Source organism: Homo sapiens, chromosome 3 (assembly GCF_000001405.40).
Source record: "Homo sapiens chromosome 3, GRCh38.p14 Primary Assembly".
NCBI lineage: Eukaryota > Metazoa > Chordata > Mammalia > Primates > Hominidae > Homo > Homo sapiens.
The window spans coordinates 45,509,614-45,527,134 of record NC_000003.12 but is presented as its reverse complement, the minus strand read 5'-3'; the positions used below and the strand labels follow the sequence as shown (position 1 = coordinate 45,527,134).

Below are 17,521 nucleotides of genomic sequence, written 5' to 3'. Positions count from 1 at the left end.
TCCTGGTGGTCTCTGGCTGGAGGATGCTGATAGAATTGCAGGTTCATGGAATTTCAACTGAGACTCTCACTACCTTTGACTGGAACCTTTGACTCAGAAACAGTGCATGCATCTGAGACCCACTTGTGTCTCTACCTGGATGAGGTGCCACTCACCCTTGGCTGGGAACTACGTTCATGCTGAATTGAACTCCAGGATTTCACTGAAGATTTTACTGTTGCATTTATCTTATTTTCTTAAGAATAGGTCCCATTTTGGACATTTGGTTTTTTGATCAGAATTCTATTGTTCTTTGGTGAAAATGTTTTCTAGTAACTAACATCTGCTGGCCTAATGCCCTATCTATCTGCTTGTGTACTATCTTGAATGTTGTTTGTCCACTGGGAGAGGATGGGAATAGGTCCCATAAATTTGTCCTTGAGCTAGCCCTAAGGGTGAAGTGGTAAAGTGGTCAGTCAGTTACTTCTTGGAGACACGCTGTGCCCGAGTCACCATTGCAAAATCTCATAATGACTTCTCCCTCAGTCTTGTTCTTGTGTTCCTGAGAACTGCTTTTATGTTAGTTTTGTCTACCGATAAGCAGGAGGCTTTGTCTGGCTCCTGATCAATGATGACTTGACTTTGATCAAGCACCAAGATGCAAAATTCCACAAGCAGCAACCCATGGATATGTTGCGGCTCATGTCTTGGTCTTTTCAATCTAAAACTGCCTCCTCCACCACAAGCACAGGCTTTCTTTATGTTTTCTAATTACAGCCCTAACTCCTGTGCATATCTTTTTAAGTGCCACAAATTTCCAAAGACAATTTGGAATGACAGTGATCCCTTTGGGGAACTTTTGATAGGAACAAAATTGTTCATTTGAGAGGTTCCTTAGAACAAAAAGGATAAAACAATTCTGATTATCCAATGGTATGATTTCTTTAATTGTATAAAGAGGTTTCTAACATAAATCGGACTCAAAAATTGTCTCCCTTAAAGATTCAAAATGTGAGAAACTTAAAAACTGTCTCCCCTGTAGATCCACTGAAAACACATTTCAGTTTTTCCCATCTTTCCTCACCTCCTTCGTCTTTACGTTTAAAATCTTGCTCAACTCATGAAGTCCTTATAATTGCCTTCTCCTCCTCCTCTCTCTTTCCCCTCCTACTTTAAATCAGTTGCACTACCTCATTGTCACTTAAAATTGCAACCCCTATGAAAGAGGCATCTGACACTGACTGGTAGCTAGTATTTAAGCTATGTGGTTGTGTTTAGCTCTGCATGCTATTATTAAGGACTTCCCGAATTCCAGAATGGAAAGACAGGAATTAATATAGAATTCAGACTTATCTTGGGTACACTCAACCCAGGCCTCTCTGACTTCTTCCAACTAAGCCACCTGTTGGAGGGGGCCAGGAGTTGCAAAAGCTTGGTTTAAAAAGGGTAACTAAAAGAGTAACTGGAAAGACCCAGAAGATGACTTAAGACACAATGAAATACACTTGTACTCAATCAGGATGTCTTAAAGCATATAAAGTAGGGCAGAATCTGTTGGGAGCTACACCACATCTCTTTCCTGCTAAAGTAAACTGGACCTTGATTCAGTCTTGCAAGCAGCAAAGAATGAACCAAAGGAAACTTCAGAGTCAGACCCATCCAAATCCTTACCCAGGTTTTAGGATTAGTTCCTGATTTCCAAAGCCCTTTCCACTTTTTTGGTTGATGCTTAAAGTCAGAAACTGTAGATATGGTACATAAACAAAAAACTGGCTGGCAAATCCTCCCACTACGTGAACTTCAATATTTGGCTGAACAAGTTTAATTTTAAAGTGGCTTTAGATATCAAAAAGGATAAAAATCCAAACTAAGCTCATGGGTTTACAATGAAAGCGAAATAAAACAGATTCGCTTTTCCTCAAGGAATGAAAAACACTTCCTTTTGACAGAGACACTTATACTGTAAAAAAGGGGACCCTGGAAAAATAAGTCTCATCTTAGCTAAAAAGAAAAAGGAACCACTGCTCCTCCTGAGGAATTAAGAAGCAACTCTGAGGGAGATGGTAGGGCCCAATTCCCAATGAGTCCCTCAAATCAACAAGGAGTACTATGTTTTAAAGTAGAAGGCAATAAACAAGGCTTTGTGAGAGACACAGGCAATACTCTGTCAACTATAAATCCTACTGTAATTTCCACCTATTTCCTGTAGGCATAAAGTTGCTTGGGTGGTGGGAATTTCAAATAATCCTCAAATTCTTCTTATCACTCAAGCTTACACTGAGACTCGTGGTTTGCTCAACTAAACAACATGCATTTCTTCTCTGTGACACCACATCAGTAAATTTAATTAGGAGAGATCTTTTTTTTAGAAGAAATCTTTTACGTCAACGAAACTGCCAAGTCACATGCATTTCAGATGACCTATTTCTAGAAACATCTGAAGACTTTCCCATGCATGCATGATCTTTCAGGAGCTCAATTACATGTCACTTTGCCCCTCCCTATATGCTTGGCCTAATCCCAGTTCGATGATTATGTGAAGTCCTGGTTTTGTCCAGGCTAACAGTCCCAATGATGTGGAGGGTTCTAGGGGCTGAAATTCAAGCAGGCAGTCAGGCCTGCTTTGATGCCTAGATTAGGAATAATTGGTGAAGAGTGCTGAATTACAGTGTAAGTTTAGACCTATAACTTAATTTCCACCTGTACAGTGGTATTAAACATGAGTTTTTATCTTAAAAAGACCACGCAGGTCATAATATGTGGATACTGGGGGGCTGAGTCACGAGAAGGGATTAAGATGGTAACATCAACACCCACATTAGTCTGGGCACATTATTCAAAGCAGGGAAGTGTCTTTCCTTTTGGTAGGGGTGACCATGTGGATGAAGTACTACCATTCAGAGTACAGGACAGAGAGGTTGCTGAGTATAGATGCCAAATGTTGGACCCTATATCTGAGGACATCTGAGTCCCGAATGATGTTCAAAAAGAGGCTTCGACAAATTCTAGTTAGTAGTAACTGGTCAAAAAAGGACTCTGCCACGTACCTGCCCAGATCTCTGAGGTTACATGAGGGGCCAGTGGAGCAGCCATTACCATCAGGGCACACAAAGCATCCTCAAACTCGGGGCTGTGGAGAATGACGCTCTGAGAGGCTTGCTAAGGAAGAGGAAAAAAAAGTAAGAAGACTGAGGTGTAAAAATAAGCACGGGTAAGAAAGACCATTAATGTATCTGAAGTCCAGAGACACAAGCTGGTAGGAAGAAACCCCCTTTGCCATCCATTTCTGCTTGGGACAATGAACTTCCCCTACTTAATGATAGCACTGAGATAAACTACAGCAAGCCAGGTGTGGTAGCTGACACTTATACTCCCACTACTTTGGGAGGCCAAGAATTTGAGACCAGCCTGGGCACTATAGTGAGACCTCATCTCTATGAAAAATTAAAAAATAAAAAAAAATTAGCCAGGCACAGTTGCACACACCTATAGTCCCAGTTACTTAGGAGGCTGAAGTGGGAGGATCACTTAAGACCAGGAGGTCAAGGCTGCAGTGAGCTATGACTGCACCACTGCACTGAAGCTTGGGCAACAGTGAGACCCTATCTTTAAAAAAAAAAAAAAGCTCCAGCAGCAGCAACAACAAATACATGATGTTAACTTATTTAGTCCTCACCACTCTTTGAGGGTGGTATTCTTACCCCATTGGACAGATGAAGCAGCTAAGGATCAGCAAGGGAGGGCAATCTGCCCCCAGGCACACTGTAGCCAAACTCTTACCCACTCTGCTAGGTTTCCTCTGTGCTGCAGGTCCACAGAGAAATGCACTGAGACCTGCTCAAAGGTGTTAAACTGTGAAACACCTAGGGCAGGGGGGCCTCTATACCCTACTTAGGGACCCCTATTCTCTGAAATACCTTTGGTCAATTCCGGCAAACATAGTTGTGTTTAGCTCTGTGTGTTATTATTAAGGACTTCCCAAATTCCGGAATGGAAAGACAGAAATTCATTACAGTTTCATTTCAGTGTCTTGCTTTATTTTTTCTGATTAAAAAACTAACACACACTCAGCACAGAATATACAGGAAATGAAAAACTACTCATAATTATACAACCTAGAAAAAAAGGTATATTTTATCCTTGTCTCCAAAAATGCAAAAATGTGTATATAAATGCTTATTACACATGTAACATTTTCAGGATTGGTATTCTTGCCATATGAACACTTCCTTTTTTTTAATTTTAAAAATTAATTTTTTTTTTAAATAGAGATGGGGTATCTCACTATATTGCTCAGGCTGGTCTCGAAATCCTGGGCTCAAGCCATCTGCCTGCCCTGGCCTCCCAAAATGCTAGGATTACATGTGTGAACCACTGCACCCAGCTCATATGAACACTTTTGTATCTTTTTTTTTTGAGACAGAGTCTCTCTCTGTTGCCCAGGCTGGAGTGCAGTGGTGTGATCTCAGCTCACTGCAACCTCTGCCTACAGGTTTAAGCAATCCTCCTGCCTCAGCCTCCTGAGTGCCTGGGACTACAGGTGCACAGGTGTGCACCACCACACCCTGGCTGATTTTTTGTATTTTTAGTAGAGACAGGGTTTCACCATGTTGAGCAGGTTGGTGTTGAACTCCTGACCTCAAGCGATCTATCTGCCTTGACCTCCCGCAGTGCTGGGATTACAGGCGTGAGCCACTGTGCCTGGCCTTGTGTCATGTGTTTTTACTTAACATTATATCATAAACAGTTTCTGATATTAAGTATTCTTCAAGACATGAGGTTAATGGTGGTGGCACATTCCTTTCTTATTGATATGACATAAGTCATTTCACAATTCCCCCATCAGAGGACACTGGGGTTCCGAGTCTCTGTGATTATAAATTATCTGCAGTGAACACTCCTGGATCAGAGGATATAACACAATCAACCTGATAGCCGAAGTGCTTCCTGGCAAGGTTACACCAACCACACCTATCACTGGCGTGTAAAAGTCTATTCTGCCATCTTTGCAATAGCATGGGGAATAATTATGCCTTTATTTTTATTTTTTTGAGAGAGAGTCTCGCTTTGTCACCCAGGCTAGAGTACAGTGGCACCAAACAGCTCACTGCAACCTCAAATTCCTGGGCTCAAGGGATCCTCCCGCCTCAGCCTCCTGAGTAGCTAGAACTACAGGTGCATGCCACCACACTTGGCTAATTTTTAAATTTTTTACAGATGAAGTCTTGTTATGTTGCCCAGGCTGGTCTCAAACTCCTGAGCTCAATCGATCCTGCTGCCTCGGCCTCCCAAAGTGCTGGAATTACAGGCATGAGCCACTGTGCCTGGCCCTGAATAGTTACGTTAAAGTATTCTCAGCAAATTTGACAGGTATTTAAAAAAAAACAAAAACAAAAACAAAAGCATCTTGTTTTAAATTTGCCTTTCATGATAATTAGAGAGGCAGACTTTTTTTTCTCCACAAATGTATTGGCTATTTCTATAACATTTTCTATGAGTTATTATCTTTTCATATGCTTTGACCATTTTTGGTTAGGTATTTTCATATTAATATGTAAGAGTGCTTTACAAGGATATTAACCTTCTGTCTGACATGTTATAAATTTTTTTAACATACTGAAAATGTCAAGTTTTATGTAGTCAAATTTGAAATTTCTTCCATTGTTCTTTTTTATCTTTATTTTACTTTTTAAAAATTACCCTTTTAATTTTATTTTTAGAGACAGAGTCTCCTGCTCTGTTGCCCAGGATGGGTTCAAGCGATCCTCTCGCCTCAGCTTCCCGAGTAGCTACAGCTACAGCTGTATGCCACCATGCCAGGCTAATTATTTTATTTTTTTACTTTGTTTTTGAGGCGGAGTCTTGCTTTGTCGCCCAGGCTGAAGTGCAGTGGCGTGATCTTGGCTCACTGCATGCTCCGCCACCTGGGTTCACACCATTCTCCTGCCTCAGCCTCCTGAGTAGCTGGGACTACTGGTGCCTGCCACCACGCCTGGCTAATTTTTTGTATTTTTTAGTAGAGATGGGGTTTCACTGTGTTAGCCAGGATGGTCTTGATCTCCTGACCTCGTGATCCGCCTGCCTCAGCCTCCCAAAGTGCTGGGATTACAGGTGTGAGCCACCATGCCTGGCCTAATTATTTTATTTTCTACGCGGCCCAGGCAGGTCTTGAACTCCTGGCCTCAAGTGATCCTCTCAGCTTGGTCTTCCAAAGCGTTGAGATTACAGGCATGAGCCACTGTGCCTGGCCCCCACTGATCTTAAAAGCTTGGAGAGGACTTCATTTTTAAAAAGCATTTGTTAATAGCTTTAATGAATGCTTTTGTTGTCCAGTAGCTAAGAACATTTGTTGACAAATCCTTTCCCTGGCAAGAAAAATGGTAGTCACACTTAGCAAGAAGGAAGTCCATACTGAAAAGGCTGACTTTTGGCATTGGTGAGAACGATCCTGATCCATCCAGGTTAAATGAATATCAAATGTAATGATGCCGAGGAGGTATCACAATTCATTCATGAAATCAGACAGCGGGGGTGCAAAGAGCCAGAAGACAGGGAGGCCTGAGTCTGGTCCTAGATTTGTCACTAATCAACCAGACATGTCATCTAACTTCCCTGGGCCTCAATGTCCTCATCTGTAAAATATTGGGGGAGAAGGGGGTTTGGACCAGAAAATCTTTAAGAACATTCCAGCATAAAACTAGGTTGTGACTATGGAAAAATGTTTCCTTAAGATAATCAAGCCACACTGAGGCGGTGACACAGTGGGGGTGCTCTCTGTCCCTCTTGGGACCCTGTGGGGCCCCTTGCCACACCTCTCCCTCCCTCCTCTGCTACCAGCAAATGAGGACAGGCCACTTACCGAGAGGGCATTGCTGAGTCCCATCAGCTGAGAAATTGCAGAATTCAGTGAGAAGTCCTCTGTGAAATGGGTGGTCACCTATTAGTAAAGGTTCAATTATTTACTTATTTCAAAATTCTTTTAAGCTTTCCACAAAAAGACTGAATTATCAAAACAAAAAAAAAGGAAAATGAATGGGATGCAAAGATATTTATAAATATATCTACTATCTCAAATAATCGCTATGTTTCATCTACACAAATATTTTAAAATTCAAAGTCAACACTGTTTCCACTGTTTAAGACTATTCTTCCACATATCTGGGATACTGTTGGTTCTCATAGTAGGTGCTTAGAAAAACAGTGCTAGTGGCTGGGCACAGTGGCTCACACCTGTAATCCTAGCACTTTGGAAGGCCGAGGTGGGTGGATTACTTGAGGTCAAGAGTTCGAGACCAGCCTGGCCAATGTGGCAAAACCCCATTTCTACAAAAATACAAAAAATTAGCCGGGTGTGGTGGCGCATACCTGTAATCCCAGCTACTTGGGAGGCTGAGGCAGGAGAATCTCTTGAACCTGGGAGGTGGAGCCTGCAGTGAGCTGAGATTGCGCCATTGCACTCCAGCCTGGGCAACAGAGTGAGACTTTGTCAAAAAAAAAAGCAATGCTAGTAACATGAATAGGACGCAGGACCCACTGATGGGTAAACTCAACATAACAGAAAACAGGAATAAAGGATGCCACTTCTGCTTGGTTATGTGACTTTGCTTCACAGTGACGGTTTTTAGAATATGGGATAAGGTTAATTTTACTTTTTTTTTTTTTTTTGAGACGGAGACTCGCTTTGTCACCCAAGTTGGAGTGCAGTGGTGCGATCTCAGCTCACTGCAACCTCTGCCTCCCAGGTTCAAGTGATTCTCCTGCTTCAGCCTCCCGAGTAGCTGGGATTACAGGCGCGTGCCACCACGCCAGGCTAATTTTTTGTGTTTTTAGTAGAAACGGGGTTTCACCATGTTAGCCAGGATGGTCTCAATCTCTTGATCTTGTGATCTGCCCGCCTTGGCCTCCCAAAGTGCTGGGATTATAGGTGTGAGCCACTGCGCCTTGTCAATTTTACATTTTGAAATGTACAGTCAACATAAGAACATTAACACAGCTTGTCAGCTTTTTCATGTTTCTGTGCTTTTCCATTTTGACTATAGGCAAGAATACAGAAAAGTAACACATCTTTAAGGATGTCAAGAGTTTCCAACTTGTTGAAATAACCTAATTCTTTTATCTGACAGAATAGAAGAATTTGCCAAATCCAGGGAGAAAATATGTGGTATGAACTCAATCGCTCAGGCATCACTCAGACCCCTACATTCATTCAGGGAGCTCTGTTCCTCCACATAGAGAGGGTACAGAGGCCAGAAATAAAGCTGAAGAAGTGTCAACAAATAAGACCATGCTGGACCCAGGGCCACTTCAGGTTATACAAACCAGAGAGGCAAAAACCTGCCATGCATCATTGTGTTCATTATCAGAGTGCAGATGAGCGACACTGATTAACTTTATGTCTGAATCAGCATAACTTTTTTTTTTTTAAATCAGCTTAAGAAGAATTTGGGATATCAGATACCCATTACAATGACTTCAGATTTGCAGAAATTAACCCACAATAGTTCACATGGATATTGTGTAACAAAGTAACTGAGTGGGAAAGTCCTCACTATGTGGAGGACTGGGATTCTAATCTCTGCTCAGTTCCTCACTAGCCGTGTGACGTTAGGCAAGATATCTGGACATCATCTCTGTCCCCATCTGTACAATGAGGAGGCTACAGAGGATAGTTTCTTAATGCCCCTTCCAACTCTAAAATTGTATTTCTGTTAATGTAACATATGCGGTGTCATCCTGGATGACAGGGTGATCCTGGATTTGGTTCTCTGCTTGGATGTGTTAAATGTGGAAACATGGAAAGTGGCAGCTTCCTGAGACCCAGGATGGACAAATGTGAGACATCATCAGAGAGCCATTTCCTGGGGGCATCTCTTTCCATTAGAACATATGCACTGTTGATCCACCTTGGTAAAGTACCCAAAACAGTAGGGCCAATCAATCAAAGCAAGAAGGACCGCCATTGCCAGGAAGGAAGACCCACAGTGGCCCAACCCAAGGCAGGGAGGGCAGCAAAGACCACAGGCAAAGGTTCCCAAAGAGTGCTTGGTTACAGAGTTAACCCCTGGAATTGGAGAGTTTCTGACCTGAGAGATGACGGAGTTCTTGTACTCCCAGAGCTTCCTGGCCTCAGCTTTCTCCTTGTTACTCAGCAGCTGAGGCTGGGGAGACTTCCCAGAAGCCCTGGCCTCAATAAACCGAGTTGTCAAGGTCCACAGTCGTTGTTGCCATCTCAGCACCCCAGGGAGAGCATCAGCTGAATTCAGCATCAGTAAATGAGAAAGAGAGAGCGTGCAACATAAGGGTGATTGACTTGGTATAACTAAGCAGAGAAAAACACCTGTGAATTGATGTGACACTTCACTGCACCCTGATGGATTCCTCTGAGGGCAGGCTGAAGGATCCTCCCTGGCCTTCAGTGTCTGAGAATTCAGACCAGGACCAATTCTATCTCATTTTAGTGCCCAGATTCAGAGCACTGGATGGCAGGGCCACTCAAAGTGCCACCCACCAACGGTCATGAGCTCAGAAGCTTGGTCAAGATGAGCCCTGGTGCCCCGCCGCCTTGATTAAGCAAGCTTGCTGGGACAAAAATGCCATGGAGTTAACATGGTGCTTTGGAGACAGTGCTGACTCCTGCTGGTGCAAGCTCTTACCTTGTGGATAGCATGACTGTGCTTGCAGCCACACTGCTGTAGAGTGTGAAGTGCATTGGCACAATCCCTGTCCTTGCAGGTATGTGTGTTTTCCATATTTTACACAAGCTCATCCAATCCAGCTGCTGGTCTGATCTTCTGGTAAAGCTGAATGGCTTTACCTGGTGGCCCTGGGTTATACCAGTAGCCAAATTAGGGTCAGTCCAGGTCCTTGTACTGTCTGGCCACTAGGCTAGGCATTCTCAAGCCTGAATGCACAGCAGAACCTTCTGGGAGGCTTCTTAGAAAGATTCCTGGAGCCTGTCCCCTGGGTTAGGGGTGGGAGCCAGAACCTCCACCTGTCTGTGCTTTGCAAGCCCCCCAGTGATTCTGAGGCAGCTAGTTCTAGGACTGGCATCTGTGACCACTGTTCCAGACCACACTTCCCACTAGCCACAGCTAGTTGGAAATCAAAATAAACAGTGATTTCTCAAATGACATGGATACTTCACACAAGGCTCAAGTTTCCAGGCATCTGACTTCCTCTTCCCACAACAACACTTAGGGCTGATCACATGAAGTAAAAATGAATGACTGTTGGACGGGTTTATTCTAGAATAGCCAGATACTCAAGATTATTTTACTTCATGTCATTTTAGTACTAAACAACTCTGGAGAGACAAATCTCCCCTAAGTGGGGAGATGAAGGGTGCTGTGGGTGACTAAGAGGCCATAGGTAACAACAGGCCCAGACCCCTCCCGGGGCTTTCTGGATTGGTGAGGGAGAATGACACTGTTCTAGAAAAAACCTTGCAGGGTACATCAAGAAAGAGGGAACTGGCCTCTTTGGACTATAGCAGGCCTAGGAGTAGCTCAGAAGCCAGTCTGTCTCCAAGGAAACCACTCTCAAAGCATGGTCCTCGTAGAGTGTGCACTGGAATCACCGCTGAGCTTGTTCAAAGGCCACCTCCTGAGCCCCATTCTGGAGGCTGTGTCAGCAGGCATGGGCGGAGCACTGGAATCTGCATCTGCAACATGTTTCCCAAATGATTCTGAGGCTCGCTTATGTTTGTCAACACCCGTCTAAGAGTGGTGCAGGATGCTGGTCAAGCTGCTACTTGCTCTATGGAACTGATTCCTAGAATTCTCTACCACTGTCTTCAGCAAAGACATTTCCTTCCTCAAACTCCTTCAAAGTCCAGGGCAGATCACAAAGGAAGCAAGTCAGGAAGAGGAAGGTGACTTACTTTTCACATCCCACAAGATATCCTTCTCAGGAGGGGCAGCAAAAAGGATGTAGAGCCGAATCGTGTCGATCCCATACTGCTCCACAACTTCCTCTGGGTCCACCCCGTTGTGTTTGGACTTACTCATCTTCTCCCACGTCACCTCTAACTTCTCTTTCGTTTTTGCATGAACAGGAACGGAACCTAGATGCCAAAATAATCCATAGGTATGGTATGTGTCATTGTGAATTGCTTCTATAGAAATAGCATCAATAAGTAAAAACTGGGTGAGCGATGGAAAGTGTCCATTTGAAGAATCACACTAATTCACTTAACAAGCCGCTTTCTCTCCCTCTGTATTGTTATAAAAATATTTTTATTTTTAAATGAATGAGGCCCACCTTCCTCCCACAAACCTTCGCGAATAAACAGGACAGTTATAATGGCCTGTGCCAGCTTTTTCTATAAAACAAAACAATTTCCCCCTTTACAAGTGAATTATTTATACACAAAAAAGGAAAGTAAAAAAGAATTTTGAAAAACTCGCACACGTTGCCATTTTCTTGATGAATTAAGGGTCTCTTATGGAAGTTGGCAGCCTGACCTGTCCCATCCATGTTGCAGTCACCAAAACATGATCTCATACTCTCAGGGCACATGGAATTCACTTACCGGGCTCATGGTAAATGTGTTGGTCCCTTTGTGGTGCCAGCCACCCACACCCTATTCTTTGGAACTGTCTCCTCCCCTACTCACATACCACTGGTCTAGATGGTGCTGATGGAAGGGGTCTTAAATGGCCGCATTTGGATGAGGTGACCTTGTTGCCAAGCCCTACTGGAGAGGACTAGTAAGAGCACCTGGCAAGGCTAAGCCTCTATCTCACAAATTGGAGCTAAGAGATACAGAAACTCAGTTTCCATGTTGCTGAGCACTGGGACCATCAGGTCCTAAGGAGATGGGGCAAGACTTGCCACTGCAGCTACCCAAGGTCACTTGGTAAATTGAAATTGGGGAGAGGAGAATCCAAGTCTGGCAGATGAAGGAGAACAGGGCAGAAGAACAGAGAGAAGCAGGAAGAAGAACTAAGAACGAGAGAGCTGAGAAAGAGAGAAGAAAAAAGGAGTGGCTGGTGACTTCCTATGAGCAGTGGGGCCTAGCTCTATTTTCTGCAACTGGGTTTGGGTGGATTTCTTTTCCTTCCAGCCAAATAATCTCTGATTCCAACAGCAACCAAGCTAACAGGGGACCGATGTACAGACCTAAAAGCCAACTCCATACTTCATGAGAGTTACATCCATGAAGGAGACAGAAACCTGCCCTTGCTGATCAAAGTATTCTCACCCAGTAGGCAAGACTACGTGGGAAGGGAAAAGATGTTCACAATACTGCCTGACCCCATGACAGCAGAGAAGGGGAGACTGAAGTCCTAGATGTTTATCCACGCTGTGGTGAGACTCAGGGAACCACTGGCCCCTTTACCCTGCCCCAGGCTGTGTCTAGACCTTAAAACACTGTTATGCAAATTAGGAAAAAATGTATCTTTCTGGGCAGAAAAGTTGAGAAGTTAGAAAAAGTCACCCTCGTTTGGCAGATGTTGCCCTGAAATGTATGGCTTGAGAAACGGCTGCATTTCAGGCCCTACTGAAATCACAGCCTTGGCTTGGTTCTTTTGTGTAGCGCACAAACTGCACAGCTATACATGGGCAGCCTTGCCTGTTACAGAGAACACTTCACTAACTGTGAGGCTGAATTCTATGTGCACCTGAATTTAGCTCTTTCCCTCTGTCATCCATGCTGGAGAGACACTGCCAGTTCTGCTTCTCCAGCTTCTTTTTCTCCCACGGACCGTTATAAACCTTGATATATTTTGCTTTGATGAGGTAATTGCATCGACTGCTTCCCTAAACCCTGTCTCTAATGTTTGGCTGGAGAGGCTGCCTACCATTTACAGGGTTGTCGTGTGACCTAATCTCATCCATTATGCACTAGTTTTTCTAAATGTAATGGTCACAGTGCTGGGGGTTTCTCACAGCTGTCCCTATGTATACTGCATGTCTCCAACTGTTTTCTTTCTTTCTTTTTTTTTTTTGAGACAGAGTCTTGCTCTGTTGCCCAGGCTGGAGTGCAGTGGCATGATCTTGGCTCACTGCAACCTCCACCTCCTGGGTTCAAGTGATTCTCCTGCCTCAGCCTCCTGAGTAGCTGGGATTACAGGTGCATGCCTCCACGCCTGGCTCATTTTTGTATTTTTAGTAGAGACGGGGTTTCACCATGTTGGCCAGGATGGTCTTGAACTCCTGACCTCAGGTGATCCACCTGCCTTGGCCTCCCAAAGTGCTGGGATTACAGGCGTGAGCTACCACACCTTGCCCCTACCCATTTTCTAACATGTCATATATTCCACGTGTGTGCTGGGTGCACGTGATACATCCTCACCATGGCACCTGAAGATCTTGTGATCCTCAGGGTGAAAATGAAGGGTGAAATGTAAAGGGTAAAGGGTGAAAATGCAGAGTGGAAGGAAAAGGCTTGGGAGAGCTGGGACAGGAGGGAAGTTCGGGGAATCAGGGGGAGGTGTTTTACTGGGAAATGCTAAGAGGGGGCTGCTCTGGGGTGCTACGAGTAAACCGAGTGCTGCCCCCCAAGGTTCTGAAATGTGCCACTAGAACATGTTGGGAGAAACACTGGGAGTACCCCAGTTCTGGAAGAATGTGTCTTGGGCCTGGGGGCTCTATCCCTGAGGTGGGCTTTCAAAGATGGTCTGGGATAGGAGGTCATGCCTGAGTTGACTCTGTTACATACAAATGAAAACCCTGCCAGAAGCTGAGGTGGCACTTTGGCTGAAGGGGGCTGCAGCAGAGGAGCAGACGGCCAGTCCAGGACCAGGCTTCAGGGGGCGCAGGCCCAGAGGGAGCTGAGGCTTAGAGACCTCACAGCCAGCGGGTCTCTCTCCTGCATCCTCCCCACTCTAGAGGCAGATGCCTGCTTGCTCAGTAGCTCTCAGGCCTGGCCTTGGCTCTCTGGGAGTACCTGGATGGGACCAGATGGGCCATTCTTACCTGTGAGATCCACTTCCTCTCTCTGTAGATACTGTCCAGATGGTAGGCGGAATGTCTGCCCCTTGATAAGGCCTTGGGCCAGCAGCTTATGAAAAGGCTCCCTGAGGAAAGATGACAGGAAAAGAAAACAGGAGGAGTGGGACATGAGGCATTGAGAAAACAGCAACGCAGACCTTCCCTCGGATGGGCAGAAGTAGCTGCCCCTCATAAAAGCAGGCGGGCTGACCAAGGCCACTTATAAACCCAGCTTAAACAAATGGCTCCTTAGAAATAAGTGATAAGAAAATAAATTCAGGCTGGGCGTGATCCACCTGCCTCGGCCCCCCAAAGTACTGGGATTACAGGTGTGAGCCACCCCACCTGGCCTAAAAAAAGTTTTAAACCATACAAGTCATATATGACTATAAACCTTCTGTTCAAATCCAAACACTACCACTCCTTTCTAGGCCTATGTCCCTTTCAGGAGGCAGTTCTTATTAATAGTTTGGTATATATCCCTGGAAAAGTCTGGAGACATTTTTCAATGCCTTTGTATACATAAATGTGTACCTATCCACATATGGTTTTTATAGATTTTTGGGGATTTATATAAGTGGGATTATACCTTATGTATACTTTATGGTATTTCACTTAATGATATGAATGGATTTCTCCATGGCAGTTCATATAGATCTATCTCACTTTTTAAAAAGTTACCTAGTGTTCTGAAATATGAATTGATTATAACTTATTTATAGTACCTGTTTTAAAAAGTAGTTTTAGTTATACCCTTACTGGGTAAATAGTGACATATAAACTTTTTCTCATAAGAGGATAAGAACAGGTTGACCTTCATACTGAAATTATTGCAAATTTGCAGTTGTTTATTCTTAAGAATCTGCCTGATTCAATTTTGAGGCATTTCAGCAAGACCTATTCCAAACTCAAAGAATGATTCATGGCGATATCTGCTGATAACACACGTTAAGTATTTCGTGTTCAGGGTATCAGGTAGGAGCACTCATTTCCTGGAGATCCAGTGATGTTCCCCACAAACATCACCAGTACATGGCTTTGGTTGCTCAAGGTAAATTTTTAAAGGTGTTTTTAGGGCAAAAGTTAGGAGAGAATGATCTGGATTCAAAGATAAAGATAGGTAGGATGATCAAAATCAGCAGCATTGGCCAGGCGCGGTGGCTCACGCTTGTAATCCTAGCGCTTTGGGAGGCCGAGGCAGGTGGATTGCCTGAGCTCAAAGTTTGAGACTGGCCTGGGCAACATGGTGAAACCCCGTCTCTACTAAAATACAAAAAGTTGGCCAGGTGTGGGGGCGCGCACCTGTAGTCCCCGCTGCTTGGGAGGCTGAGGCAGGGGTTGCTTGAGCCCAGGAAGCGGAGGTTGCAGTGGGCCGAGATCACGCCACTGCACCCCAGCCTGGGAGACAGAGCGAGACTCTGTCTCCAAAAAAAAAAAAAAAAAAAAAAATCAGCAGCATTAAGCCTCAAGAAGGGGCTGGGAATCCAAGGAATCCTATTCTTAGGTCTTGTATTTTATCAAGTGGCACAACACTGCCACCTTCCGAGAACGGACAGAATTGCAACCTGCGAAAAACTGACTAACCCCAGCTGTTCAGCCTAAGGCTGCAACTTTTGCCTCGTCTTTTATAACTTTTTTTTTTTTAAGGTAAACTGTTGAGGTATAGCACACATATTGAAAAGTGTAAGTCCTAGCGGTATAATGATGAATCTTCACAATATAAAACACACTTGTGTAACTGGCATTCAGCCCAATTAGCAGAACGTGAAATCAACCTTCCATCCGCTTCTAGGCACTGTCTCCTCACTATGGGCCCCTATAGCCTGACTGCTAACACTATTATTTCATCTGCCTGTTTCTAACCCGCTTGTAGCCATTTCTTAGTGAGAGCTCTCAGGGGATGTCCACATGGGAGGCTTTCCCCAGAACTGGCAGGCAGGTCCTCAGCAGTGCACCCACACCAAGACCTGCTAGTTACATGAATATATCCTAATGTCTGAAAGCTTCCAACAATGAAACTTGACAGTTGAAGCTCTTCTGGACTGTCTTCTCTGAGGGTTGCAGTGCAGCAGGGGCCATCTCAGATGGATCATCTAGAGCAGGGATGGCAAAACCTAGCCAACTATCCCCAGTGCCCTTGCCTACAACCACCCAGACACCATTCATCGACAGCAGCACTCCTGGTGCTCAGAACGAGTCTCTGAATTCTTCTTCGTACCATATAATCAGAAAGCACAGAGTTATTATGTGAAATGTATCACTTATTTCTTTGGTATTTCTTGAGTGCTTGCTATGTGCCTGGCACTGAGCTAGGCACTGGGGATATAATGTTGGGCAAAGCAATCTCTGCCCTTGGGGAGCCAGCCTGTTTACGATCACTGAACCAAACCAATGCCTGACAACTCTCAGAGCTGTGAGGGAGGAAAAGAAAGAGTGCAGTCATATTTGAAGAGCTCCTCCTCCCAATCAAGTCCAAATTCCTCCGCATAGCCATCCAGGACTTCTCCCTGTCCCCTGCCACTCCCTCTGCTCTTTCAAATGTTGCCTGCATGTGCTTCCACGTCTTTACTCACGCCATTTCCCAAACTGTTATCAAAACTCTAGTCCTCCTTCCTGGCTCAACTCAAATGCCATCTCCACTGAGAAGGTATCTCCTGGTCAGAATTAGAATTAGTTGTTTTTTCCTTCCTGATGCATCCTGTGTAGTGCCTGTAATTGTATCTAGCAGCTATTACATTTTATTGTGTATTTAGGTAAGCTGCTTGCCTGTCTTTCTCCTGTGAGGAGTAGGAGGATGATTTTTTTTTGAGACAGGGTCTTGTTCTGTCACCCAGGCTGGGGTGCAGTGGCACAATCACAGCTCACTGCAGCCTCAGTCTCCTGGGCTCAAGTGATATTCCCACCTTACCCCTGCAAGCAGCTGGGACCACAGGCGCGCACTACCACACCCAGCTAATTTTTTGTATTTTTGGTAGAGATGAAGTCTCACTATGTTGCCCAGGCTGGTCTTGAACTCCTGAGCTCAAGCAATCCTCCTGCCTCGGCCTCCCAAAATGCTGGGATTACAGGCATGAGCCACTGCTCCTGGCCTTGAAAATCCTTAAAGGCCACTCTCAGTCTCCAGTTCCTAACAGATGCTCAGTAATGTTAATTGCCTTGAACTCAATCAAGCTTGTTTCAGTGGATGAATAAACCTACCAGCAGCAGGGGTGGGGGATAATGTGAGTAGGACAAAGTGGAGGCAAGAGAGGAGGGAAGAAAGAAATGAGTGAAGTGGGGCACTGGATGCTATACTTTCCAGCTAGTGCCACCATCTTTTTGCAGGGAGGGGTGCATTGAAAGATCCCAAGCAGCTGAAGCAAGAGAATGAGAGCAGGGGAATGCCCCGATGAGTGCTCACATGGAATTTCCCAGTGGGGAAAGGGGCGCTTCCCAGCTCCTAGAATCCTGCTCATTCCCAAGTGTTTTCCCTCCACTTTTCCAGGGAGCCAGGGAATGGGCTATAGGGAGTTGGGAATCTGGTTTTCACTCTTGGCTGAAGCTGGCCATGTCTACTCTCATGCGTAGTTTAGCTCTGAATGAGTCACACTTGTTTATTCATTCAACA

General features: G+C 44.7%; 1 protein-coding gene across 6 annotated transcripts in view, besides 1 other annotated feature; it reads right to left on the bottom strand.

Annotated features, from left to right (window-relative positions):
* The window catches only part of LARS2 (leucyl-tRNA synthetase 2, mitochondrial), a 160,832-nt gene that overhangs the window by 22,273 nt on the left and 121,038 nt on the right, over window positions 1-17,521 (bottom strand). For all 6 annotated transcript variants that reach the window (NM_015340.4, XM_017006042.2, NM_001368263.1 and 3 more), the window contains 5 exons: window positions 13,900-14,000; window positions 10,859-11,041; window positions 9,063-9,232; window positions 6,839-6,916; window positions 3,027-3,138 (listed from right to left, as the gene is read on the bottom strand). In NM_015340.4, the coding sequence (NP_056155.1) occupies window positions 3,027-3,138; window positions 6,839-6,916; window positions 9,063-9,232; window positions 10,859-11,041; window positions 13,900-14,000 (644 nt within the window). The remainder of the gene's footprint in view (window positions 1-3,026; window positions 3,139-6,838; window positions 6,917-9,062; window positions 9,233-10,858; window positions 11,042-13,899; window positions 14,001-17,521) is intronic.
* Window positions 17,224-17,518: a silencer, noted in NCBI's record as "tiled region #486; K562 Repressive non-DNase unmatched - State 15:Elon". NCBI's record gives its function as "represses a minimal TATA promoter and a strong SV40 promoter by Sharpr-MPRA in K562 cells {active_cell/tissue: K562}" and the evidence as "EXISTENCE:reporter gene assay evidence [ECO:0000049][PMID:27701403]".